The sequence below is a fragment of the Homo sapiens genome, chromosome 10 (assembly GCF_000001405.40).
Source record: "Homo sapiens chromosome 10, GRCh38.p14 Primary Assembly".
NCBI classification, from domain to species: domain Eukaryota; kingdom Metazoa; phylum Chordata; class Mammalia; order Primates; family Hominidae; genus Homo; species Homo sapiens.
In genome coordinates, this window is record NC_000010.11 from 14,166,678 (window position 1) to 14,193,042 (window position 26,365).

Sequence of the window (26,365 nt, forward strand, 5' to 3'; positions counted from 1 at the left end):
ATTACTCACCCAAAGAACAGGATAGGAAAAGGGCAACGAAATGGCCTGCCCATTACTTGTCCCCAAATATTCTGCCTGATTGCCTTCACTCTGTGGAATTTGCCCATATTATTTCATGGAGATAGTTCTACCCTGGTTCTAACCAGTTGCTTTGGCCTTCGTGCCCAGTTTATCAAACCCCATGAGCCCTTAGAGAGCCTATGGGTGCTCCTTGTTCATTTACTCAGTCAATAAATATGTATGAAGGCCCTATATTTCTGTACCATGCTATGTACTAGGCTTAAAAGGATGAACAACATACAATGGGATAAATACACACTTAGAAGAAATAAACCCTGGTGTCTGACACATCAACAGGGTGATGATAGTTAACATGAATCGATAGTCTATTCCAAAATAGCCAGAAGAGAATAATTAGAATGTTCCGAGCTCAAAAAAAGAGAAGTATTTAAGGTGATGGATATCCCAGTGACACTGATTTGACTATATGAAAGTATGAAATTATCATTTCTCCGCAGAAAATAAGTACGTCATATATATGCCAATAAAGTTAAATAAAGACATAAGAACAGGGCCAGGCACAGTGGCTCACACTTGTAATCCCAGCAGTTTGGGAGGGTGAGGTGGGCAGATCACTTGAGGTCGGGAGATCAAGACCAGCCTGGCCAACATGGGGAAACCCTGTCTCTACTAAAAGTGCAAAAATTAGCCGGGTGTGGTGGTGCACACTTATAATCCCAGCTATGCATGAGGCTGAGGTTGAAGAATTGCTTGAACTCAGGTCAGGAGGCAGAAGTTGCAGTGAGCTGAGATCATGCCACTGCATTCCAGCCTGGGTGACAGAGCAAGACTCCGTCTCTCAAAAAAAAAAAAAAAAAAAAAAAAAGGAAAAGGAAGAAATAAGAACACGATATAGTGGAGAGGCTCACAGTCCATTGCAAAAGGCAATGGATAAATACGTGGGGGCTTAGAGTGTGAGGGAGGCTTGGAACAACGTAGGCAGAGCATGTGATGGACACCTAGCCCCATCCTGGGGCTTCAGAGATTTCCCAGAGGATGTGGCATCCATGCTGCCACATGAAGGTGGCCTTAGAGTCAGCAGGGTAGACAGACAGGGCAGGATGGAAAAGGATATGCCCACAGAGAGGAGAGCGCGCTGTAAGATTTGGAAGGTGTGAAGTACGCCAGGCTCAGGGAGCTATAGGGCATCCCCGTGGATAGACAGAGGGTAGACGCAGTGTTTCTGCAACACGTGGTGGGAGGATCACCTGCATCAGAGTCCTCCAGCCTTTTGGCACAAATGCATGGTTCTTGGATTCAGTGAGTCGGGATTTCTGGAAGAGAGGACCAAGACTCTTCACTTTTAAACACAATCTCAGGTGATTGGAAGGCTAGCTGAAGCCTGAACTTCTAATGCAGAAGAGAGACGAGGCAGAATGGGTGGGTGAGGGCTAGCTCATGAAAAACCTAGAAGTCCAGAGGAGACGCTTGGACTTTCTCATGAGGGTCCCAGGCAGTGGTGTGCTGGTAAATGACTAACAACCGGTTCTGGGGTGGAAGTGGTTAATTCACAGCTTGCTCATTTCTGGGTTGTAATTACTATAAAGATCACATGAGATCATCTGTGTCCAACCTCGTAAGAGCTGAAGCATGGAAGAAAGAAAAGTTGTTATTCTCTAATTGACAGGATACCTTTTGGATTTGCTGAATCCACAGTCTCTTCTTCTAAACAATTCACCTGTCAAAATTATTTGTCATGAAAGCCTTTATTGTCATGAGAGTTGATTTACTCTTCAAAGGAATCTGTTTCGCTCTGACCTCTTTGAGCACACTTGACAGGGGTTTTGCACTGTGACCTCCCAGGAATCTTGCAAGCATCACCCAGAAGATAGGTCATCTGCTATTCCCACTTGTATTCATGGCAATGACAATTTATTCCAGGCATTGGTCATGAGATTTGCACTTCTTCACATATTCATTCACATATTTGTTTACACATTCATACTAGTAATAGCTAACATTTATTATGACGTGCCAAGACCTGTCAGACATGAATGTATTAACTTCTCAAAATGACCTATAAGTCCTATTACTGCATACATGTTATACAGAAAAAAACTGAGGCTCAAAAAAGGTACACCCTAGTAAGTATCAGAGCTAGAATCTGAATGCAGGTAGTCTGTCTGGGGATAAGCCATGGTGCCTCTCACATTTCCTTTTCATTAACTAAATAAACTGTCCTGTAGCCCTCAACAGTCTTCCCGTAATTCACAGATGCCTTGAAGGGGGGTTGTTCTGAAAAAGAATAAAGTTTTTTCCTGTTTGCACCCAACTGAGGTCAGTAGTTTAATAAATGCATCATAGTGGCTCTTTGTAAGAGAATCTGATGTGTACATCATACTCAAACCTATTTCTGGTTTTATTGGCTTTATGGAAAAATTAAACATAAAAATATACAATGTCTGCATCAGCTCCTCCTGGGTTCTCAGGTGGAAGAATCCCTTTTCAGGTAAGATTATTCCTTGCCTATTTGAGGAGTGACTCCGAGATGAAGTGACTCCATCTTGGATGCTAATCTGCCACTTCGACTTCTGATTAGCCCCAATTCCGTGAATGCCTCCTGGTTCCTACTTTATTTACCATCCCTAGTGTAAGAACATGTCAATCTTGATGTTATCACACAAATTATAGGCTGTGACACGCATAGCATTCTTGCCTATTCTGTAGGATTGCTTTTAGTTGTCCCGCCCAGAGCACACACACCCTTTTCCTATGGTGGATAAGCCCTGGGTCTGGGGGTAACATAACATTATGGAGATCTCCCTGTCTTTCTGCTGCCAAAGACCATGCTTCCATCCGTAAGTTCCCCAGATAAATCACCCTTTACCAAAAAAACTGGATTTTGTCCTTGTTCTTTGGTTTCTTGTCTCCTCCTGTATTTGGGGGTCACTTTGTGTATGTGGCCCTTTCTTGGAACACTATCTCAGAGGCCCCTTCAGATTAGAAACTGTCTCACACTTTCTTAGGAAAACATTTTGATATCAGCAAACATTTCCTTGAATTTAATCTAAACCTGTCATTCTTCAGCTCCAACAAATCTCCTCTTATTCAAGTCTCCATTAAGATAAAGTATAGGCTGTCATAGGCTTGGGCATAATCATGTGTGTGATATTTAGTGTATTTGCAAGTAATTGTCAAGCCTTCCACAGTCATCCCACTCAGGCTAACCATTCCTTAACCCTTAGTGATTTCTGGTTCACAGAGTTCTTTACATGAGAAATTCCAGTGCTTGATCTGAATTCATGTACAAGCAAGGTGGAACACAGTGGATCATTCCAGGCACTATTCTCCATGGAATCCTGGCAAAGTTTCAAGCAGATGTCGAATAATTCTAAGTGACTTTAAGAGTTTCACATACTCTATACTAATTGCCCTAAGGAGCCATAGAGCTTTGACTATACATATTTTATTCTTCCTTTTGATCCTATATTGTGTGTATTTCAGAATTTTGACATCTTACCTCTGTATCTAACGTGTTTCCAAAAATATAGCATGATCAGGAAAGACAATTCTTGAACTAACTCTAGCTCTGTGTGGCTGACTATTATGCCCAGGTACAAAAGAGCAGGACTCGCCGGACATGATTCCTGGGCTAATTTCAAATGCTCCTTCTTTAAAAGATCTGCTTCCATTTCCCCTTAATTGCCCCTTTCATAAAATGACCAGATCCTCTCAGAAGATTTCCTTTAGACAGTTACTTTATGCCACAAATCACAAATGTTCCTCGAAAAAAGTATCTGAAGTACAGCGCAGGATATGTCTTTGTAGGAGAAATAAGACAGGGTCAGACAGAGAAAAAGACACCAACGCTGGGAAGTTAGGTGATTGTAAACTGAGAGCAGGTGTTAAAGGAAACCATATTGGAGTATTCAGAAAAACTCAAATTAGCACACGAAATAGTTAATCAACTTTTTAAAAGTTACAACTATCCTTTCTAGGGTTAATTTCCATCCACTCTCTATTTACCGCACAAACATTTGGTAAAAACATAGCTATAATCTTATTTGGATATTTAAGAAAAGAACTCCAATCAAGCCATCTTCCCTCCCTTCCACTCCCCTACCTCTCTTCCCTGGCCTCTTCTCCCCGTCCTCTCCTCTCCTCTTTTCTTCCCCTCCCTTCCTCTCCACCTTCTTTTGATGCCACAGTTTCTTCAGATTACACTCCTTACAGTCATGAAAAGTAAAGACTTGGCCTGATTTCATGTGGCCTTACCAAAGTGCTCCCTGCAAATTTTGCAGCCACCATGAATCACAAGACGCTGAATACGAGGGGAGTTTTTTTTTTTGTTTATTTGTTTGTTTTTTGCGAGCCTCATTCACTAGAAGCAGGGCTCAGAAGATTAGATGGAATTATGAAGTTTGGAGGATTAAAAATCTAACTAAAAGGACACATTAAAAAAATTCACGGACATGATTGATTATAAAATGATTTCCTTTACTCTCATAGAAGAAACCACTCAATCACCTTCTCTCTCTCTCTTTTTTTCTTGCTTTTTTCACCCCTGCCTCTGCAAACATCATTTGCTATGGTTGAAATCCTGAGACCTGTGTCAGGGCCTGCCAGAAGGCCAGTTAGAAATATATCCATCAGCCTAGAGACTCCTTTAGATTGCATTATATATAAAAGGAAGAATAAGCAGTGTGCCCAAGTGAATCCAGCCAAAAGCCAAAGCTGTGCAATGGCTGTGTATCACTGACAATGCACTAACTGTGATTAGGGGAGGCCAGCTGCCACCCTGTCTGTTTCTAGGTATGTCAAGTGTGGCCGCCCACCCAGGAGACAGAGTATGTTCAGGTGCCCTCTCTGCAACTGCCTTAATTTCAATGCTCATGAACTGTGTTTCTCACCCTGTTTTGCCATTTCCAGTTAATCTCATGCATATTTATGTGCCAATTATGCAAATCCCAAGATAAAAATGCATTAAGCACCCATGATTTAGACTGGTTAAGTCCATTACATGGTGTAATGAAATTATTGCATGATGTCCAATTTACCTCAATGCTTGCTTTAAACTGTCCATAAGTTATTGAATAACCATAACATGCCAAAATTTAGCTCTAGGAGGCTTCCTTTGTCTGACCTATCATCATACCAGGAAATCAGAAACTTCAAGCTAAATCCTCACCAAAGGGAGAAAATATTTCAGAACAGACTTAAGGAGGCATAATGTGATCAAAGTTTAAGTATGGCAACCACCTTGTCACGGATATGTCTTCTCTTCGGATAAATTAAAAATATCGCTGGGTAATTTCAACAACATTTGGACAGGGCAACTTAGGATTTAAAACCAAGCCTTGCCAATGGGATTCTCCTCTTGCCCAGTCAGGTCTTGTTCCCTCAGTCATGATGATATTGTAGGTCACTGAATTCAAATGCAGTTTGAATTTTCAATATGGAAATATCCATTTCCAGCATTAGAAATAAAAAGACTAAAAAAGAATTCACAGAAGCAATTTAAACACATACACATACACAAATCCCTTGAAACCTAAAAACTGAAGGGTTTGAATGAGAATCTATTTGCTATGTAGAGATTTTATGTTTAAACTTTGGTAGGACCCGAACCCCACAGTTTCCATGTTTATTAGACAATATGATGATCAAGGAACAAGCCATGATGTGAGTGATACTGATAAATATAATATGTGAGCAGCCTGACTCACTGACATCCATTTCTCCCCCGACTATAGCATGCCATTTTAATCGGCTCATGGTGTGATTTACGCAGAGCCTGGGTCCTGATTATTTGCATAGGAAACTCCCTTCGAAGTCTACGAGAGTTGTACTCGCGTGAGGTTAGGAGCTCGGATCCACAGATCTGTTAGGCGCCAGAGACTGCACAATACTGCGATAGTTTGCAATTTGAAAACCTGGTCAAATGAACAGATTACGATGCCATTCCCCAAAGCATTCAAACCTCATCCTGTCAATCAAGTGAGCTAGGATGCCAGTGTCATTTGCCATTTTCTTTGCTGTGGTAGGGGATCATGAAACAGCACCTTGGATTGAAGTGTACTGCCTGTAAGCAACAGGATTCCAGCTACATGCCCAGTGAGAACAAGTGGGTCACCAAGGGGATCTCAAAGATCTGCCAGCCCGCAGAAGGGCTGGAGTTAGAGCCTTTGTAACAAACTCTCACTTGAGGCTATCCTTCTAATGAATGACTCTCAGACATGGGTGAACATAACAGAGATGGGAAATTCTCGCAAAGGATGGGGTGTCTTCCTGCACAAGACCTACTTCTAACATTCTCTGAAAATATCATGGTCAGGCTCATTAACCAGCAGGAAAAAAAAATGTTCAATGACAAGAGTCTATTTGTGTCCAAATCATTACACAGGGCATCAAAGAGATGAGGTAAATCAAAGCTTTGTCCTATTGACTTTAACTCTGCTGTGTGTTTAGAGATCTATTTGCCCCTTGATTTGTTTTGAAATTTCTGGTTAAGAAAAGTAATATTTCTAGCATTATTGAAAACTTTGGATCTATCCATTTAGAGTTATAGGTAAATATAGCAGATATCAAATAACACCTTCATCGTCTGAGCTTATAATGGAAAACCCCACGTTCAAAGCGTCTCTTGAAAGTGAAAAAGCAAACTCCAGCCAAGAAGAACAAGCGCTTAGAGTCTTCAGGAGACCAAAACCAGTTCCCCGTGAGCATTTCTAAATGTTACAGGACCAAGTTCAAGATGTCAGGCTAGAGCAGTGCTCTGAAATCTTTTCTGCAGGTCTGCTATTTTTCCGAGAACACACTGGCCTCCAGAATGCATTAACCTACTTTCTACAGAGAGGATTCCCTGGTCCTCCTGCTCTGAAGAAGAGGAGGAGGAAGAGGAAGAGGAAAGAGGCTATTTCAAGTGGGAGCTGGGCACACTCTTTGCCTTAAACGTGTTACTCCTCCTGCTAAACAGCAATACGATCTGAGAAATTGGTACTTCCTGCAAACGAACAGCTCCGAGGGCTGCACGGCCCCAAAGCAAGAGTGACTGGAAATCCTGCTAAAATATGGCTGTCTAATCAACCGAGAGGCGAACTCATTTACTGAGGTTCCCATTGTCCACGCTGACAGATGGCTCGCTCCCCTCTCTGCTCTCCCCTTCCCCTCAGATCGCGCTGCCGTGCAGGCAAGCCTATTCTTTGAGAGATCCAGTTGCAATCGCCAGCCTAGTTCTGAAATGAGACAAAAGCTCCGTGAGCCTCCTCCCATGCACAGAGCCTTTTCTGTCCCTCCAAGCAGAAGGAAAAGAAATCCAGATCCACTCCCCTTACCTTCGTCCTCATCGGAGACAGGAGCCCTTCCATGGTGGCAGAATCCTCATGCCAGTTTCTGTCTCCTGCAAGTTACTCTCTCTGTGTGCCGTGCTTAAGCATCCCACATGAAAAGAGCCATGTCGGGAGCCGTGGTGGCTCCCCTCTCCCGGGTGGCGCCTCTGCACCGCCACCCGGTCTAACTTGAATCCCCAGCGCCTGCAAAGCGCCGTTCCTGGAGAAGCCTGCTCCTCTCCTCGCCCTGGTCCCCTCTCTCTTTCTCCCTCTCCCGCGCTCTCTCTCCTCCCTCTCTCTCCTCCCTCTCTCTTTCCATAATCTGCCTACAGCTCTCTGTGTACCCTGCTCACTTGACAAATGATCTCTGTCTTAGGTAACGCATTTGAACCAAGAACAGTGATCTGTAACAACCCACAGGGCAGCTCATCCAGGGCAGGAGGCGAGGGGGGCTGAGCCGGAGCATCCAGCCGCTTTGGGCTCTGTAGCTTGTTCTCTCCAGAGCTGAGAGCACTGTTGCGTTTGTTCGTTCATTCATTCATTCATTCATTCATTCATTCGTTCATCATTCCTTCCTCTCTTAAGAAGTGGGACTCCCACAGGAATGGATCTAGTTGACACCATTACTGAGCTGCTTTTCTGGTCTGTGTACAGAAAGCTGAAAAAGAAATCCCACTGCGTGGAGTACTTCTAAATACCCATGTTCAGCCCACTGTGAATTTCACACCTGGATAGTTAACTGGGTTCTTCTGCAGTTTGGCCAGATGTTTAGAGGCACATAACTGTAGCCTCTTTTTAGAGAAAGTTTCAAAAACAGATTTATGGACTCTGATCCTGAATAGTTGAGTATTAAAAAAAAAAGTGTGTGTGTGTCTGTGTGTGTGTGTGTGTGTGTGTGTGTGTGTGTGTGTGTGGACGCGCGCGTACGGGCACACTGTCCAGGAGTCCAAATAAATCAGGATTGACTGTTTCATTCAGCATTGCTGGTCACTTGGAAAAAAATACACAATGAAAGAAAAATGGCAAAGACCTAGGTCAGAGCATAATGCAGTTGAAAAGATGAGATTTTTCTGAACTTCTTTATGCTTGAGGAATTTTCTCTGTGAGAATAATTCAACATCTCTACTTCAACTGGTGACTCCTTAAATGTGGCTACACACATCTATGCCATCACCAAGGGGCCAGGACCCCTTTTGCATCATATATGTGACACATGTGCACCATACATGAACCTATCAATGTGATTTAAGGAAGATGCCCCTGTCCCTTGCCCTTCTTTCCATCTGTGATTCTTGTACTCACAAGACATCCCCAAGATAGGGCGAGCCACTCTGTCCTCCAGATGGAATCACAGGCTGGTCCCAGGCCCCTGCCTCTTCCTTCATTGATGCTTTTCACCCCTAATTAACATCCTTCTTCTCCTCCCGTTCACACATCAGCATTCCAATAGAACTTCAGTATCTACACCAACTCTATCACCTCTTGATCACCTCCTTCGTAGTCTCCAGTTTGCTTCCTTTTTTTTTTTTTTTTTTTTACAGGGTGTCTGTCTGTTGCTCAGGCTGCAGTACAGTGGTGCAATGATGATGGCTCACTGCAGCCTTGAACTACTGGGTTCAAGAGATCCTCCTGCCTCAGCCTCCTGAATATCTGTGACTGTAGGCATGCACCACCATGCCCAACTAATTTTTAATTTTTTTATGGAGACAGGGTCTTGCTATGTTTCCCAGGCTGGTCTCAAACTCCTGGCCTCAAGAGATCCTTCCGCCTCAGCCTCTCAAAGTGTTGGGATTACAGATGTGAGCCGCTGCTCAGGGTCCAATTTTCTATTCTTAACTCTTTCTCTGCGTCACCTTAGTTGCAGGCTGCAACCTCATTCTCACTTAACCAGACATGTACATCCTTTGACCAGAGTCTTAGCATCCTGACAAATCTGTAGACCCAACATATTGAGTGCAACTCGCTGTCCTTATATAAAAGATTATTGCCATTTCTGGGGGACTCTGGACCTTATTTCTTGGGTATTGACTTAAACAATACTTCTTATTTTGTATTGTAGTGTTTAGGGATCCCTAATATTTTCTTCTATTCATGTAGTCATTCAACAAATAGTTGTAAGGCACCTAGTATGTGCTGGAAGCTGTTCTTGTTCTGATGATACAGTGGAGAATAGGGTAGACAAAGTCCTTGTTCCAAGGCCCTATATTTCATAGCAGGTTTGATACAAAACTCAACCAACTCATCAAGCCCTTCCATCTATCATTGCATTATTCATACCAACCTCTCCCCATGTTTTTGGGTTTCTCTGTGGGATTGCAAACCTTCTGATGTGACTTCCATTTCCAGTTTAGTGCCAGTCTCTTTGTGACACTTCTCCTAACTGTACACCCATGATCAACTTTCTCCTAGGAAATAAAAAACCAAAATGTCTCCACGAGAATCTCATTCCTTCACCTCCATCTTTTTTTTTTTTTTTTTTTTTTTTTTGAGACGGAGTCTCCCTCTGTTGGCCAGGCTGGAGTGCAATGGCGCAATCTCAGCTCACTGCTATCTCCGCCTCCCAGGTTCATGTGATTCTTCTGCCTCAGCCTCCCGAGTAGCTGGGATTATAGGCACGCACCACCACTCCCAGCTAATTTTTGTATTTTTAGTAGAGATGGCGTTTCACCATGTTGGCCAGGATGGTCTCAATCTCCTGACCTCACGATCCACCCCCTCGGCCTCCCAAAGTGATGGGATTACAGGCATGAGCCACTGCACCCAGACTTACTTCCATCTTTAATTCTATTCTCTGTCCTCTTCCCCAGACCCTTCCTCTATCTCCCCAAAGGTTTCATTTTTCAGTGTCAGGGAAGGAAATCACTCTTGTTTACTCAAAACAGAGATGCCGTTCCTCATCCTCCCCGGTTATTGGCCCTGAACCATTAAAACGACTTGTTATCCCACTCACTGTTGAGACATCGCCCATGCCATGTGCTACATTTAGCTTCCATCCCTTTGGATTCTTCAATAACTAGAATAAGCTGCATCCATTATTTGCTTTTTTACTTTCGACAATTCTTTCCTGAAGCATTCTGCCCTGTTCATGACATGTAAAGGTTCATGAACAGGTTTGCACTGTTTGTGCCCTTTCTAAACTCAGAAACCCCTCTCATCAGAATTTCCAATCATGTACCCTTCTTTTTGTTTGTTTTTGTTTTTGTTTTTTTTGAGACAAAGTATCGCTCTGTTGCCCGGGCTGGAGTGCAGTGGCATGATCTTGGCTCACTGCAATCTCTACCTCCTGGATTCAAGTGATTCCCGTGCCTCAGCCTCCACCATGCCCAGCTAATTTTTTTTGTATTTTCAGTAGAGATGGGGTTTCGCTATGTTGGCGGGGCTGGTCTTGAACACCTGGCCACAAATTATCCACCAACCTTGGCCTCCCAAAGTGCTGGGATTATAGGTGTCAGCCACTGTGCCTGGCCCCAATCATGTCCCCTTCTCAAGAGTTTTATCCTTGATATTAAAAAAAATATATCTCTGGTACAATTGATTACCTGCCCCGCTGCCTCCTGGCCCTCTGTACTCTCTCTGGCTCTCAATCTCCCTAAAGGTTTGTTTAAAGTAGATAGAACAGAGGGGGGACTATGCCAAGGTTAAACAAAATTCGACTGATTGCATGTTTAAGGCCGGTTGTTTTCTGAAAAACTCCAACCATAGATTTTGGAACCAGAATAGCTTTCCTGAGTCAAAGGAAAGGACTTTCGGAAGGAATTTGGAATATTCTGTATAAGTGCACCACTTAGGGAGGGTAGAACTTTTCTGGTTGTTTACACACCAGCCATTTAGCCCCTGGAGCCTGGGGTTGTTCACCATATTTTTATAATGGTCTGAGAGGTCCTTGACGAAACCTCTGGAATCAATAGGACTTGGAACCTATCAATTAGCTCCTGAGATGATGCTGCTGTTGATGGTAAAGATGAGAATGGCAATAGCTGTTGAATGCTTACCTGGTGGCAGGCACTGGGCTAAGTGATTTCATGCAGTAGTTCACACAATTCCCTTACCCCCTGCCCTACGAGGGAAGTACTATTCTTACTGCTATACTGCAGAAGCTTCAGCTAAGTAATTCACCCACACAGCATTCAGTTCAATGAAGCCACTGCTGGTGTACTATTTCCACCTTGTGTTACTTCATTAAAAATAATCCCCACCAACATAAGACATACAAAGACTTAAAAGTACATTTTAAATTTCTGTTCTTTATTAGTCAGGGGTTGCAAAGTAAGCATTTGAAAGTATTTTATTTTAGACTATTAGGCTATTACATTGAGTACCTCGTTCACTTATGTATTCAGGAAACCAATATTCATTGAACATCCACTTCAAGCCAGGTTCTGTGTTAGACACTTAAAAGCACAAAGTCTTGTGTTTATCAAAGATAAACATTTACAAAATGGAGCACATTAGTCCATTTATCACTTATGATTTCCAAGTCCTTTAAATACTGATGACTGCACCTTTTATGTCTTGTGTGAAGTGGTTGAATTGTTGCAGGGTGAAGGGGGCAGGAAGAGAGAGAGGGTGGTGGGGATTAGAAAATATTTTAACCTGGGCAATAAATGTCCGTGAAGAATAATTGTCAGATCATTAGGCACCCTAACACCCTTGACATTGATCAATGTTACCAAAGTATCCAGAAGCAAGAACGATTTGCATTTTTGCCTCACAGATTTCTTTGGATTAGGGCACTCTCTGCTTGCAATTTACCATCTGGGGTTAACCCAAACTTAGAAAAAAAAAAGTCAATAAATATCAAATATGTAGACACTGGTGAAATATTAATTAAGTTTACACCACAAGAGAAAGGGAGTTTTCTCTGAAATCTGACTTAAGGAATTTCTACTTTGTGGTAGGTGGACTTCTCACCTATAGAGGAAAACTCCCCACACCAAGGAACCTCTCTTAGCAAATGCCCTTGCCCTTTGAGCCACCCTTCTTTCATATTTTGATGTCAAAAAAGAGAGGGAAATAATAACTTTATAATAAACTTCTCTAGACTAGGAGCACTTGTAAACGTCACAAAGGCTGTTGGGTAGGCCATGGTTGGAGGCTCAGGTTTTCCATCTCTTGGGCTTAAACACTGACCCTTTCTTCCCCACATCTTTGCCATTTTTGAGGTTAATTTATTTAGGCCCCTTAGAGTCTCTGGGGATCATAGCTAGCCAAACAATTAGGTTTTATTATCTGGGATTGCACTGCCTGCTTCATAAAGAGTTGATGATTTATTAAGGTGAGAAGATTGTGACCTAAGCACCGTGAAGGCTTTACCCTCTGTGACCTGCTCACCACTCTTTACTATTTAGAAACATCTTCATCAAATTGTAGGCTTTGGGATGATAATGGATAGAAAAGGTCTTCTTCCTGGATCAGTTCCAGATATCTTGGGTAACACTGAAGGAGTTATGTAACTAACATGACAAATCTCCTTCCCCCTTTTTCTCTCTGCCTCAACCCTCCTCAGCCACACATATTTGCTTTCATTTATAATATAAATATCCGAACCTAGCACAGAGAAAATTTTCACCTGCTATGTACTAAAGTGCTCAATAAAAATTGTGATTTAATATTAAGTGCTTAAATTTATTCATGTCTAGGTAAGAGAAAACATTCTACAAGTTCTTGCGATACAAAAATTATATAGCGATTAACATTCTTTCAAATTGTTTTTACATGTGTTTGCCTTTTTAAAAACCTCAGAATGGGCCGGGCGCGGTGGCTCACGCCTGTAATCCCAGCGTTTTGGGAGGCCGAGGCAGGCAGATCACTTGAGTTCAGGAATTCAAGATCAGCCTGATCAATATGACAAAACCCCATCTCAACTAAAAATATACAAATTAGCTGGGTATGGTGGTGCACATCTATAGTCCCAGCTACTCAGGAGGCTGATGCAGGAGAATCGCTTGAATCCAGGAGGCGGAGGTTGCGGTGAGCTGAGATTGTGCCACTGCACTCCAGCCTGGGCTACAGAGAGCAAGAATCCATCAAAAAAACAAAGCAAAACAAAAACAAAACCAAAAAACAAACAAACAAAAAACAAACCTCACAATGATCCCATGAGATGTGGCAGGTATTCATTTTCATTTTATAAGATTGGAGAGGTGAATAGAAGAGTAATATTTATTGAGCATCAGCTTTGTTCCAGGGCTTGAGCTAGATACTCTTCAGTGTCATCTCACTTAATTTTAACAGGTGTATTATTATTCCCATTTAACATATGATGACCTGAGATTGAGAGCATTAAGTATGGTAGTAGATAGCATCATTTGGTCCTGATTATTCATACATTTTGTTATCCATGCAATTTGCTGTGTGACTTTGCCACCCTCTCTTTTTCCCCAAGTATGGATAGAAGGCTAGCAAAGGCGGTACAAGCAGAATTTTGAAATGCGCATGGGAAAGATACACCCACGCTAGTCTGCTGATTCCAACGGGAGGATAACAGAAGACCCAACCTCCATTACAGACTTACGAGCAAGCCAGAGAATCACAAATGAGTGAGACTAGCCAAGATCAGCTGAGCCCAGCCTACATCAGCAAAACTCTACAGTCTTCTGAAAAACCAATGCCTATTACTGTGTGGCACCAGGCATTGCATTTGTTATGCAGCCAATGGATACGATTCCTAATCCAAGATGAGAGTTCCTAAACTGTGGAGCAGAGCTGACTAGAACTCCAAACGCAGGTTTTCTCACTCCAAAAATTTCAAGTTCTTCCAATGCTGTCACATTTCTGTGGCTCACCCATGCGCAGTGATGGGTTGTATGATTACTATTTTCCAGACCCCAGATCAATGTCTAAGCTCCAAGACACACATTCCGGCACTTCTATGTTATTGAATGTCAAGTATAGGATCTACTGTATTTTATTTACAATTCCTTAAAATTGTGGCACACTGAGGAAAACACGGTATGAGGTTCTATGCCTTGATCAGTCATCTCGTCTTTATGATCTTTTAGACTCTGCCCCATTTTCTAAAGAACAGCAATTGCCTAAAGTTATCAGCAATCGGTACAGAAGTTAATTGGAATCTAGCCCTTGGAGACTTTTCCCTTCAGCAGTTCTTGCCTTTCCGAAAAAGTGTCTCACAGTGGGAAAAATAAAACTGCTTTTCTTCATTATCATAAACACTTCAGCTGGAAATGGTTCTCTACCTGCCCCGATGTTTTATGAAAACATCTAAAGAGCAGAGTGACATTATTTTCCCGTGTTTGAAAAGAGGTATTTCCACTTTTTTCTTTTTTTTGTTTTTTTCCTTAAGGTTTGTGGTTTAAGTACTTTTGTCAAGAGGGAGAAGAAAACCGACAGCTGCTGCAGCCCCAGATCGCTGCCCCGTGTTTGCTCAGAAGACCTCTGGGAGCCCAGATAAGGAGAAAGCTGAGAGACAGGCATCTGGGCGGAAGCAATGCCTCCTTCTTCCCGTCGTCACAGAGGGGAAGCAGTTGGATGTTCCTGCAAAGTTAGCATGCAGGGTAGCATTTTTACCTCCCGCTTTTGTTGGGTTATTTCCAAGCTCCAAACTAAAGAATTGTGCGACAGAAATTATGTAGGGAAACATTTTAATTTTTGACAAATAAAAATTGCACATATTTCTGGTATAAAACACTATGTTCTGATATATGTACGCATTGTGAAATGATTACCATGAATTTTTTTTATTTGAGATAGGGTCTCACTCTGTTGTCCAGGCTGGAGTGCAGGGGCACAATCACAGCTCACTGCAACCTCGGCTTCCTAAGCTCAAGCAATCCTCCTGCCTCAGCCTCCCCAGCAGCTGGGACTACAGATGTGCACCAACATGCCCAGCTAATTTGTGTACTTTTAGTTGAGATGGGGTTTTGCCATATTGACCAGGCTGGTCTTGAATTCCTGAACTTGAGTGATCTGCCCGTCTCGGCCTCCCAAAGTGCATGCTGGGATTACAGACGTGAGCCACGGTACCCGGACTACATCTTTTCTTGATATTTCTGTCAAAATGTTCAGGATTGTCACGACTTGGACAAACCACTTTCAAAAGCTTTGTTTATTTGTGGCTTTTTCTTTATAAGAGGCAACCCCAACACTACTACCAAACTGCCGTATAATTGTTTATCAAACCTAGACTGGGGAGGGGACAAAAATGATAGTGATCAATGGAGATGGGAGTTGACACAGTTTCTGCTTCTAAGACTTCTTTGAACTCTCAAGCTGTGTTTTTAAAAAGAGAGAGAGATAGGGTGCAGTAGCACATGCCTGGAATCCCAGTGCTTTCGGAGGCTCAGGCAATGAAATTGCTTGGGGCCAGTAGTTCAAGACCAGCTTGGGTAACATAAGAAGACACTGTCTCTACAAAAAATAAAAAATAATAATAATAGCCAGGCAAGGTGGCACATGCCTATAGTTTCAGCTACTTGGAGGGCTAAGGCAGGAGGAGAGTTTGAGCCCAGGAGTTTGAGGCTGCAGTGATCTCTGATCTTGCCACTGCACTCCAGCCTGGACAACAGAGCAAGAGAAGTCTGACAAGACAAAAATTTTTTTTTTCTCTAATTGGCCTATCCTTCATGGTAGGGGTGTGAAAGAGACCCCCATCATCTACCCTAAAAGTAACTCATGAACTCCTTGGTACAGGGATGTTCCTAGGTTCCTTCAAGGTGGACACATATGCTGAGAACCTCCTTTAAGGCAGGTTCGACCGGGGGCTCTGCCCTGAGGTTACCAGTGTGAAGAGTACAGGTGAAGGCTGTTGAAAAATTTAAGAACTCCAAGGATTAGAGGTAACAATCACAGAAACCTTCTGAATTCTACTGAGTGAGAACTAGCAGGAGGGTTGAACAATTCAAGTGGAAGCAAACGTTGGGAGAAGTACTCATTTCACCTGGGATTGTTGATTAGGCTGCTTCAAGGGAAATCCTATTCTTGAAGGTGGCTTTGACCATCTGGAGGAGGTTAGGATGTTGGTGCGTGGGGCTGTCGTAAGCAGGATGGGGTGGAGATGTGTAGGAGGTGAGGGAGGACTTCAGACAGAGAGACTGACCCATGCTGAAAAAGCATAGAGCTAGGCAGTAACATATTTGAAGAGAAAAACAAGAACACTGAAGTTTACAGAGTGCTGATAAGTGATCTCCAGATTATATGGTCTTAGACTCGATTTTTCTTAATTTAAAATTGAATTTACACCTCACTTTATTTGAAAAGTTATGTGTCATGCACGAATGAAATAATGTGCAGACAGAGTTCACTTTATATCATTAGTGGTGTCTTGGAAAGTTACACATTAATTTATTTAGAAATCTGCAGGAAATTCCTTTATGTTATAAAAGCTCATTCTTCTAAGTTATTCTAATTTTACAAGTTGGAATGGGCCATGCCTGCAGAGTGTTTGATGGTCCCTTTAACAGTACTGGGATTGTCTAATAATGGAATTATGTTTACAATGTGACCTTTCAAACAATAAATGTGCCTCAATGTGCATTATCTTCATAGCTCTAAGGAGTTGTTTCTTTTTTTTTTTTCAAATCACTCCTGTGTCTTAAATTTCCTTGGCCAGCTTCAACCTGAGGCACAAAGGAAAGTAATTGCTTGATTCAATTTCTCACTGTGTCAAAATAATGAAATTGATGGGCATCTTTTACTCCCAAACCTGGAAATGCACTCTATTTTGCAAATTGAATCTTAACCATGGTATCTAAATATGTTCATTAAAAGCAAAACTACTGTCTTTTAAAAATGTTCATAAACAGAGACACTCATGCCTGAGGTCATAAAGCCAAGTTGGCATTTTGATCAGGTGTGAAGAATATTTCTGTCTCAATTTTAGTAAGACATGATTTTTCTGACTCAGTACCTCAGCATAACCTAAGAAACCAAACTTTGTGAACAGTATTGACTTTAAACATCATAGTAATCATAAGAACAAAGAGAAATTATGAGATATGGAAAATAGCTCCAGAAACAAAGGCTTAATTTGAAAACTTTGCTATGGTTTCCAAGCATGTTTTTACCTGGTCATGGTTTGGAGAAAGGAGTTGGACCTTCTAAAAGTAGATCACCAAGCGCTTACATCTTAACACATTTCCTTTTTTGTTTTTCTTTTCTTTTCTTTTTTTTTTTTTTTTTTTTTTTTGAGAGAGTCTCACTCTCTGTTGCCCAGGCTGGAGCGCGGTGGTGCCATCTCGGCTCACTGCAAACTCTGCCTCCTGGGTTCAAGCGATTCTCCTGCCTCAGCCTCCAGAGTTGCTGGGATTACAGGTGCATACCACCACAACCGGTTAATTTTTTTTTTTTTTTTAGTAGAGATGGGGTTTCACCATGTTGGCCAGGCTGGTCTCGAACTCCTGACCCAAAGTGCTGGGATGGATTACAGGCGTGAGCCACTGCAACTGAACCCATTTTCTATACCCAGCTTGTTGAGTAATCTCAGTTATTTATCTAGCTTCTCTTAGCCAACTTTCTATTCTATTATGTTAAAAAAAATGGAGAAATTACTACTTCTCCAATGTTAAAAAAGGTATTTTTTGTTGTTGTTCCAATTTAAGGGAATTTGTTTGCTCAACAAAGGCTGAAGTGCTTTATACAAGGCACCGTGCCCGTCTCCTGAGGAGCCTCTGAACGTTCCCAGAAGCACACGTCCAGGCCGGGCAGAGCATGGCTTCTGTTTCTACCTCTCAGTGAAATCAATCCCCCTAAGCTTTCTTTCAAAGTAGCCCAAATGTGTGGCTCATGGGCTATAAGTCAGATATGAAAGAAGAGAAGTTTGGAGAATAAAGGCGCATTTTCTTATTTATTTATTTTTTATTTTTTAAGGAAATGATAGATATCCTTACCACATCTTCGTGCATGGCCTGCCCGGATACAACTGCGTGGGTACTGCGATGGAGCACAAACAAACGCGACCGCTAAAGTCGTGTAGGGTGTTTCCCTTTCATGTCTGAATTTGTTTAGACAGTTACACAATCAGAGAGCGCGGAATGAGAGAAAACAAAACCCAGGAGAAAGGAATGCTTTGAATCTAGGTCCCTGGGCCTTGATACTTTTTCTTTGTTAAATCAACCCAAGGCCCCTCCATATGCTGATCATCTTTTGCCAATGTCTGTGTCTGAACAGGTTTTCCCAGGCATATAGCTCAGAAAGAACCTTTCATCCTCCTTTTCCTGTTATGTGTATAATGTGGTGTAGCCCAAAGCCACTGTGGGTTCTAATTTGCATGTCTATTTCAAGAAGCCCGGAAACTATTTGCATAAGACTCTTGCTTCCTGAGAGATCCCAGCAGAAGGATGTAGAGATAGAGTCTTTCATTTTTTCATTTAGTTCTAGATATCCATAGTGAGAGATCTGTGTGTCTAAACCCTAAAATCTGTAGAATGTGCATGAAAAAATCTACCACCCTAAGCGTAAGGAGAGCTAGTACAGATGAGGATGTCGTGGCAGAAATTAGTACAAAAAACATTACAACATTTTGTAATTTTTCTAACTTCAAGTATTTTTTGGAGGTTTGTTGTAGAACTATGGAAACTTGAAACATAAAGCAAGACTATTTAAAGGTTCAATCTCGTCTTGTAAGAAAGAGAAACAGGTAGAGAGACAGAAAGGGGATATATACTTCATGGTCAGAGAGCTGCAGGGGCGGTTGTTAGCTGTGCAGATGAGCAGAAGAGAGGATAGCAGCAGCTCAACAGTGGCACCTTCAGTAGTTCTAGAGAGAAGGGATGGCAACAGCAGTAGACCAGGCTAGTACCAGCCAAAGCAACAGATACGTACAATCCAGACTAGTCCTGGGCGGAATAGGGTAGACAGGGCAGGGCCCAGTGGAGACAGCCATGGCCAGGTTTCCCATAGAGTTAGAGTGAGATAAAGTGGTAACAGCAACAGGGCAGAGAGAGACTGGGCAGGAACTGCAAAGATGGCAGCTGGAGCAGAATGATGTGCATCAGGTGAGAGGAAAAGCACAAGGCCAGAGGATCAACTGTGCAGGGTCCATGGTGATGGAGCACAGCAGTGGGCAGAAGTGCGGGCTGGGACCTACCCCCGTAAAGGAGACACTGGAAACCATCGTCCAAAGAGACAAAGACACCAATGACTAACAGAATTTATTGAGCTTACAAAATCGCAGATAAAAAGAAAAAGAAAAAAAAAAAAAGACTGGCCAAAATGCTAAAACTCCCTCCTCTTATGGGATAACAAAACAGGCTACAATTGGTTGGAATCAATATGACCAACCAGAGCCTGTACAGAACCAGCCTGTGATGTCACAGTCTGAACTACCACCACACGTTTCGTACTAACGCCCCCTGAATTTGCACATGCGACCCATGAGGAGGCATGAAGAGATAACTGCTCATGCCAAGACCTTTCTAGGTTTCCCCTTTCCTTCCACCGATCACCCACTAATCCCAGAATCCACCCCGTAAACCTCTTCTAATAAAACTACTCCCTTGAAGCCAGCAGAGGGAGACAGATCTGAGCTGGACTCCTGTCTCCCTGGGAACAATAAAAGCTTTGCTTTTCTCACAAACCTGGTGTCATAGTCTTGGCACACTGGGCAGTGACCCTTTGGCTCCATGACAAACATGATGGTCTAGGGACCCTGCTTCTCTCCTGTTCAGTCTCAGGTGACCCAAGGACTAGACCATGCATCCTCTTCCTTCTTACCTATCTTCATATCCTCATGAGAGAAGGGAGGGTTATCAGCCTCTGAGGATGCAGATGTTGCGCTCAGCCCCAGGATCCCCAGGAGACTGGCAAAGAAGATCATAGCTTTGACTGTTCAGGGTGGCCTTGGACACAAGTTGTACCCTTAAGGAATACCCTTCTCTGACCAGTATGGTGGTTCATGCCTATAATCACAGCACTTTGGGAGGCCAGGGAGGGAAGACTGCTTGAGCCCAGGAGTTTTGAGACCAGCCTGGGCAACATACTGAGACCTCGTCTCTGCAAAAAAAAAAAAACATAATTAGTCAGGTGTGGCGGTGCACATTCCTAGCTACTAATCAGGTTAAGGCAAGAAGATTGCCTGAGCCCAGGAGTTTGGGGAAGCAGTGAGTTGTGATCATGCCTTTGTACTCTCGTTTGGGTGACAGAGCAAGGCTCTGTCTCAAAGGAAAGAAGGAAAGAAGGAAGGAAGGAAAGAAGGAAGGGAGGGAGGGAGGGAGGGAGGGCGACACTCTTCCTTATAACAAGAAACAGCTTGCATTCTATAAAAGCAATGATGTGATTTCTTAAAGGCATTATGAGCCTAACTCCATGATATCAGATCATAGGATATTACAGTCAAATTGTGTATCAACTAGTCCATCATTTCACAGATAAGTAAATTGAGTCCCAGAGAGTTCGGTTACTTTCCTAAGATTACAGAAGTCCTCAACCTTGCTAATCTGATGTTCTTTCTTTTTCAACATACTGTTGGCTATATATGTCCTTTGTAAATAAAGGAACAGAGCCATTATCGTGGAATGACTGACTTAGAGAACGCTCCATGGACATTTGCTTCGACCTATATCCCATGCCTTTCTCCATTTACCCCCAAATTGACATAGAAAAAGATCAGCCAGATACAGTGGCTGGGAGGGCAACATAGTGAGACCCCGTCCCTACGAAAAATCAAAAAATAAGCTGAGCACCAGTGGCATGCGCCTGTGGTCCCAGCAACTTGGGAGGCTGGGGTGGGAGGATCGCCTGAGCCTGGGAGGTTAAGGCAGCAATGAGCAGAATGCTGTCACAGAGAAGGAACTCAATAAATACTTGGTAAAATATTTATTTTGGGGGTTAGAAGTAGACTTGGGAAATTTGGTTTTCTTTGATTCCATATTTCACTAGGGGGAAATAAAGATGTAAAACAGAGACATAAAACATGCCATTAGCTTTATGGGCCTTGGGACAGTGGGGTTCCCAGTTTTCCCGGGAGATGACGATGGAATGCATTCAGGCAGCTCCCACAATACAATTTTCCCATCTCTAGTGTCCTATTGGGAAGGTATCTCCACCTCCTTGTAGCCTCTCCATGCTGAATACACTTAAAACTCTAACCTCCTTTCCCCCAAAGGAGCTCCTTCCTTAGACTCTCCAGGTGCTGTCCTTGATGCTAATCTTTCTTCTGGTCAGCCTTTTGTTTTTCATGTAAAAATGACTTATTTCATTACTTACTGGACCTTTTCCACAAAATGCCTGGAATCAAATAAAAAATGACTGGATTCTCAAGTCAACCTTTCTGGACGCCTGCCTCTCCCCCTGTGCCAAGGACCCATGACCTGCTTGCTGCCTGGGCTCTTTGTGTGGTTTGGTTGCTTTTCTCAGACTTGAATGCTTCCCACTGAAATCCTACAATTGGGCACATAGCACTCCCTATTGAAAATGTATAATAGCTTCTCATTATACAAGCTCTTCACTTTGGCTTTTAGAATCATGTGCCGTCTCCTTTCCTATTTGCCTCCCGCCTGCCAAACTCATTATCCAATCATTCCCTCTTCAATCAGTCCCACCTTTCTACCTTTAGGTCCTTTTCCAGAATCCAAACTTTAATCAAAGAGATAAAGCAGGCCAAGACCCAATGTCCATTACTTAATAAGCCCTCAATAGACATTAGCTTTCTTCAAAGTCCTCATCAACTCCTTTCCTTGGCTGCGCACAGTAGCTCAGACTTTGAGAGGCTGAGGTGGAAGGCTCACTTAAGCCCAGGAGTTTGAGACAAACCTGGGCAACATAGTGAGACCCCGTCCCTACGAAAAATCAAAAAATTAGCTGAGCACCAGTGGCATGCGCCTGTGGTCCCAGTAACTTGGGAGGCTGGGGTGGGAGGATCGCCTGAGCCTGGGAGGTTAAGGCAGCAATGAGCGGTGATTGCAGCACTGACCTCCAGTCTGGGCAACGGAGCGAGGTTTTGTCTCAAAAACAAAACCAAACAAAATCCCGCCCAAAACAACTCCTTTCTGGGAAGCTTTCCCTGAGCAACCCAGCTCACCTCTGTTTGTCTTCACTGCCTGTTTGACATTTAGCTTAAGTTACCTTGTGCTGTTATCTTTTAACCCTGATCTGTATTTTAACCCTCAAGCACAAGGTCTCATGGCTGTGTATTTCCACCTCTGTGTATGGTGTCCTATAGACAGTGAGAGCTTAACATCTCGCGTCAGTGATGATGCTGCAGCATTGCTACGATGTCACCCTTAGCTCCAAACATGCCTACATCATTGGCAAACCTTTGAAATCCCAATAGCAAAATGCCAGAAATGCAAGAATTTGAGGTGGAAAAAGGGGTAAGAGGAGGAAGAGAATGGGCCCGGCGCGGTTGCTCACGCCTGTAATCCCAGCACTTTGGGAGGCAGAGGTGGGTGGATCACCTGAGGTCAGGAGTTCAAGACCAGCCTGACCAATATGATGAAACCTGGTCTCTACTAAAAATACAAAAAATAGTCAGGTGTGGTGGCGGGCACCTGTAATCCCAGCTACTCGGGAGGCTGAGACAGGAGAATTGCTAGAACCTGGGAGGCGGAGGTTGCAGTGAGCTGAGATTGCACCATTGCACTCCAGCCTGGGCAACAAGAGTGAAACTCCATTTCAAAAAAGAAAAAAGAGGAGGAAGATAATGAATATTTACAGACTGCCTTCTCTGTACCAAGTAACATTCTTTGTTCTTGTATAAATATCCTCTCCTATAAAGAAAAAAATAAACAAAAAGAGGGAATTGATTCAGTCAGGGTAACAGATGTTAGTGTCATCACTTAGGACTAGAGCCCATAAACTTCTGACTGCCACTGAAAAACAGCCAATGTCAAGGTGAGTTTAGACAGATCTTAACTCAGCCTGATGCTCATTAATGAGAACAATGGCAAAAGTGTTGGGAATTTGAGTCGGCCTCAGTAGGAAAATCCTTATAAATTTAATGAGAGCTCAGGAGAGATTTCTATCTATCTTAATTATGCTTGCAAACTTCATAGGGCGCTCTCTGACTCTAGGCTAAAACATGAAGCACCTTGATACCTCTAATACATAAGCCTAAGGCAGTAAATCAGGTTCTCCCCACACGTACACCACTTTCCAAAATATATTTGACAAAACTTGTCTAAATGTCTCATAGACACTACCCTTTGACTAAGAAAACGGTTTTGGTTATCACTCCCATTTTACAGACAGAAAAACTGTGGAACAGATTCTGATGCAACAGTATGCCCTCGCCCTAGCAGACGAGTTTGTTGCTCATCCTGAAGTGAAAACAGTAGTTTCTTCACAGCAAATGACCACCCCTCTCATGTTGGTAGTTCTACCATTTTCAAGACAACTGTATTACCAGAAAAAAGGGCTCACTGCTGGATGTGCTGGAAGCCGATACTATGACACCGGGTTTTCTGTTTGTTTGTTTTTTGTTCATTTTTTAGAGTCAGGGTCTTGCTCTGTTGCCCAGGCTGGAGTGCAGTGGTGCCATCATAGCTCACTGCAGCCTCAGTCTCCAAGGCTCTAGCGATCCTGCCTCCCGAGTAGCTGAGACCACCTCTGCCTCCCAAGTATTTGAGACCACAGGCACATGCTATCACACCTGGCTAATAAATTTTTTGTAGAGCTGGAGTTTTCTTGTGTTGCCCAGTCTGGCCTCAAATTCCTGGCCTCCAGCAATCCTTCCACCTTGGTCCCCCAAAGTGCTGGGATTACCGGCGTGAGCCCCGGCATCTGTCAACACTGGATTTTTGAGAAAAGAAAAGCTTTATATTGCAAGTCTACTCACAAGGAGACAGGAGTCAAGTTCAAATCTGTCTATCTGTGCTGGCTCCAAGGCAGTATTTTTTAATGGAAAAGTTTCAGGGGGTGGATTTGGGGATAAGCAGGTGACTGATGGAAGGAAGCAGGAAGTCTGGAAAGTCCTTGGGCATGCGCAGTTATCTATTCGTGATGCCTCCTGGGGCTTTGTGTGCAAATTTGGAGGAAGTTAGTGTGAAACATGGGTGGGAATTCAGGCTGTGAGGTCAGCAAGCTGGTTCCGTGCAGACCCCAGTCAGCCATATTGGTTCCAACCAACTTTAGCCAGTTCTTTTATCTCACAGGTGGAGAGAGTTTTAGTGTCGCAGTGAGAGGTTTCTTGTCTTATATGTTAACCTGCACACTCAAGAATTTTTGTTAGTTACTGGTTGTACTCTTGGGGGCATAGTCTCAGTTTCAGCTTTTCAGCAAGTTTTTGCTTTTCTTATGTGTGTTATCCTCTAAGCCCAAGAAGTTAGCCATTGGCTTCTTTAACTCTTTGGGGCATGGTTTCAGTTGGGAATCCCAAACAGAAAGGGTCTTCTGCTTTGAGAGAATTTTATCTAAATGGACACACAACTCATAAAACAACAGTCGTTGAGAGAAAGCAGAGGCTAATGGGGTCAAAGGTGAACAGCCAGTAGAAGTGCCAGCTCCTAAGAGAAAGGATATCAAGGGACAGCCATAGTTTACAAGACCCAGGACCAATCCCAATAAAAGTCCTGTCTCATGACCCCTGGTCTCTCTGTCACTAATTGAGAAATACAATCGACCGCTCCCCTCTGTTTATGCAGTGCATCCAGCATCATGTGACTACACAAGAGAACAAAAAGTAGTATCGGCTGTTGCTATGGAGACTTAAGAACCATGTGAATTGCTATGGCATCATAAAAGCGATATTCCAATCATCAGTCTTTAACTATAGGGCCGTTGAAATCTATCTCATATTTTTAGAATGTGTGACATTTAACACATTGATGAATATTTCCAGCCTCAGAATATATTCCCTGCTTTCATATTTAGATAGGAGTTTTCAGCTCAACTGGCTGTTTTTTTTTTTTCTCTCTCTCTCTCTCTCTCCTGGCAAATGCTTCATCTCCTCATGAGTGATTACAACTCTTTCTATACTTTCCTAGATGTTTCTTCATTCTTGCTTCCTGTTTTTTCTTTATTCTATAATTAAAATTATTTTCTCACTCACTGTCTCCACTTCCACCAGACCACTTTTTCACATCCCCGGTTGACATTTCAACCAGGCTTTAACCTCCACTGGTCTTAACTGACCACACTTTAAGCCAGAGTTGCTAATAATCAACAATTCTGAGCCCCAGCCAAAGGTGCACAGCTACCTCCTTGGTGGTTTTTATCCCTGAAAGTCACCATCCCCTTATCATCCAAGGGAATTCCAATTCACTGACTTTTCTAGGCTTTATATGAAATCATTCTTTTGGATGGAGAATAACATATCTAATTCTCCACTTTTTTCTTTGTAAGAATTGCTAACTGGGTTTTGTGTAGCTGTATACACAGACCATTTTGAATATCAGTGTGTATCCACACACACCTGTTTTGCTTATCTTATTTGGAAGATGTTGAAAGAGATTGATTAACTTGTTTAGAGTAACAGCTCTTATAACCTAATTAGCTTAGAAGCAAAAATGGGAAAGTGTAAATATCAGGAAATATACATTCACATAACAAAACTCTGCTAAAAGAAACCTGTTACAGTGGTGCACTGTTGTGAGATAAATTCCTCCACATTCCTTTTATTCTTGCAGCATCAGCCTCTCCAAATCTTCATGTGTATTAAGAACCTTCTTTTTTTAACCTCTTTCCTTAAGAGAGCTTCAGGATCTCTTGGACTTATGTATTTTCATCTCCTCCTTAAACCTCTCCAAAGAAGAGCCTTCTTGTTCCCTCCACAGTATTATACAATAAGCTCAAGTACATCAGTGAACATGGTATTACCAAGGTGTGATTTTATTCTGTGAGTTTCCAGGAATGAACATCTCCCCTCTAGGTTACTGAATTCTAAAACGTAATGAATTCCTTCAAAGAGTTTTTAAGCATTTTTGCATCAACTTTTTCTTCCAGGGGTCACAAAGGATGATTTATTTATTCACTGTTGCATTTCTAATCACACCAATAGGGTGCAGTTGTCACTGCTGTGTACATAGCAATATGAACTAAATATATTTGCACAGACAGTAATGCCACAAAAAGAAATAAAGAGTAACAGCGTGTATTTGCTGACTCCAACATCAAGGACTGCACTGTTATCCTTGTCAATATCTAGG

General features: G+C 42.7%; 1 protein-coding gene and 1 long non-coding RNA gene across 3 annotated transcripts in view, besides 7 other annotated features; one reads left to right on the plus strand and one right to left on the minus strand.

Annotated features, from left to right (window-relative positions):
• Positions 1-26,365, minus strand: part of FRMD4A (FERM domain containing 4A) — a 687,219-nt gene that overhangs the window by 522,972 nt on the left and 137,882 nt on the right. The gene's annotated exons all lie outside the window — the stretch shown is intronic.
• Positions 727-1,228: an enhancer, noted in NCBI's record as "H3K27ac hESC enhancer chr10:14209403-14209904 (GRCh37/hg19 assembly coordinates)". NCBI's record gives its function as "activates a minimal SCP1, AML or CMV promoter by ChIP-STARR-seq in primed H9 embryonic stem cells {active_cell/tissue: H9 hESC(primed)}" and the evidence as "EXISTENCE:reporter gene assay evidence [ECO:0000049][PMID:30033119]".
• Positions 1,229-1,728: an enhancer, noted in NCBI's record as "H3K27ac hESC enhancer chr10:14209905-14210404 (GRCh37/hg19 assembly coordinates)". NCBI's record gives its function as "activates a minimal SCP1, AML or CMV promoter by ChIP-STARR-seq in primed H9 embryonic stem cells {active_cell/tissue: H9 hESC(primed)}" and the evidence as "EXISTENCE:reporter gene assay evidence [ECO:0000049][PMID:30033119]".
• Positions 8,771-9,270: an enhancer, noted in NCBI's record as "H3K4me1 hESC enhancer chr10:14217447-14217946 (GRCh37/hg19 assembly coordinates)". NCBI's record gives its function as "activates a minimal SCP1, AML or CMV promoter by ChIP-STARR-seq in primed H9 embryonic stem cells {active_cell/tissue: H9 hESC(primed)}" and the evidence as "EXISTENCE:reporter gene assay evidence [ECO:0000049][PMID:30033119]".
• Positions 10,630-10,791: a silencer, noted in NCBI's record as "fragment chr10:14219306-14219467 (GRCh37/hg19 assembly coordinates)". NCBI's record gives its function as "represses an EF-1alpha promoter that drives an FKBP-Casp9 reporter gene in an ReSE screen in phorbol 12-myristate 13-acetate-treated (for megakaryocytic differentiation) K562 erythroleukemia cells {active_cell/tissue: K562(+PMA)}" and the evidence as "EXISTENCE:reporter gene assay evidence [ECO:0000049][PMID:32094911]".
• Positions 14,573-14,867: an enhancer, noted in NCBI's record as "tiled region #4256; K562 Activating DNase matched - State 5:Enh". NCBI's record gives its function as "activates a minimal TATA promoter and a strong SV40 promoter by Sharpr-MPRA in K562 cells {active_cell/tissue: K562}" and the evidence as "EXISTENCE:reporter gene assay evidence [ECO:0000049][PMID:27701403]".
• LOC124902378 (uncharacterized) lies at positions 16,213-19,785 on the plus strand. The gene is made up of 2 exons (XR_007062060.1): positions 16,213-16,294; positions 18,153-19,785. It is a non-coding gene; the product is annotated as an uncharacterized LOC124902378 (long non-coding RNA).
• Positions 18,547-18,606: a silencer, noted in NCBI's record as "silent region_2159". NCBI's record gives its function as "represses an Ori minimal core promoter by ATAC-STARR-seq in GM12878 lymphoblastoid cells {active_cell/tissue: GM12878}" and the evidence as "EXISTENCE:reporter gene assay evidence [ECO:0000049][PMID:35858748]".
• Positions 18,887-18,936: an enhancer, noted in NCBI's record as "active region_3069". NCBI's record gives its function as "activates an Ori minimal core promoter by ATAC-STARR-seq in GM12878 lymphoblastoid cells {active_cell/tissue: GM12878}" and the evidence as "EXISTENCE:reporter gene assay evidence [ECO:0000049][PMID:35858748]".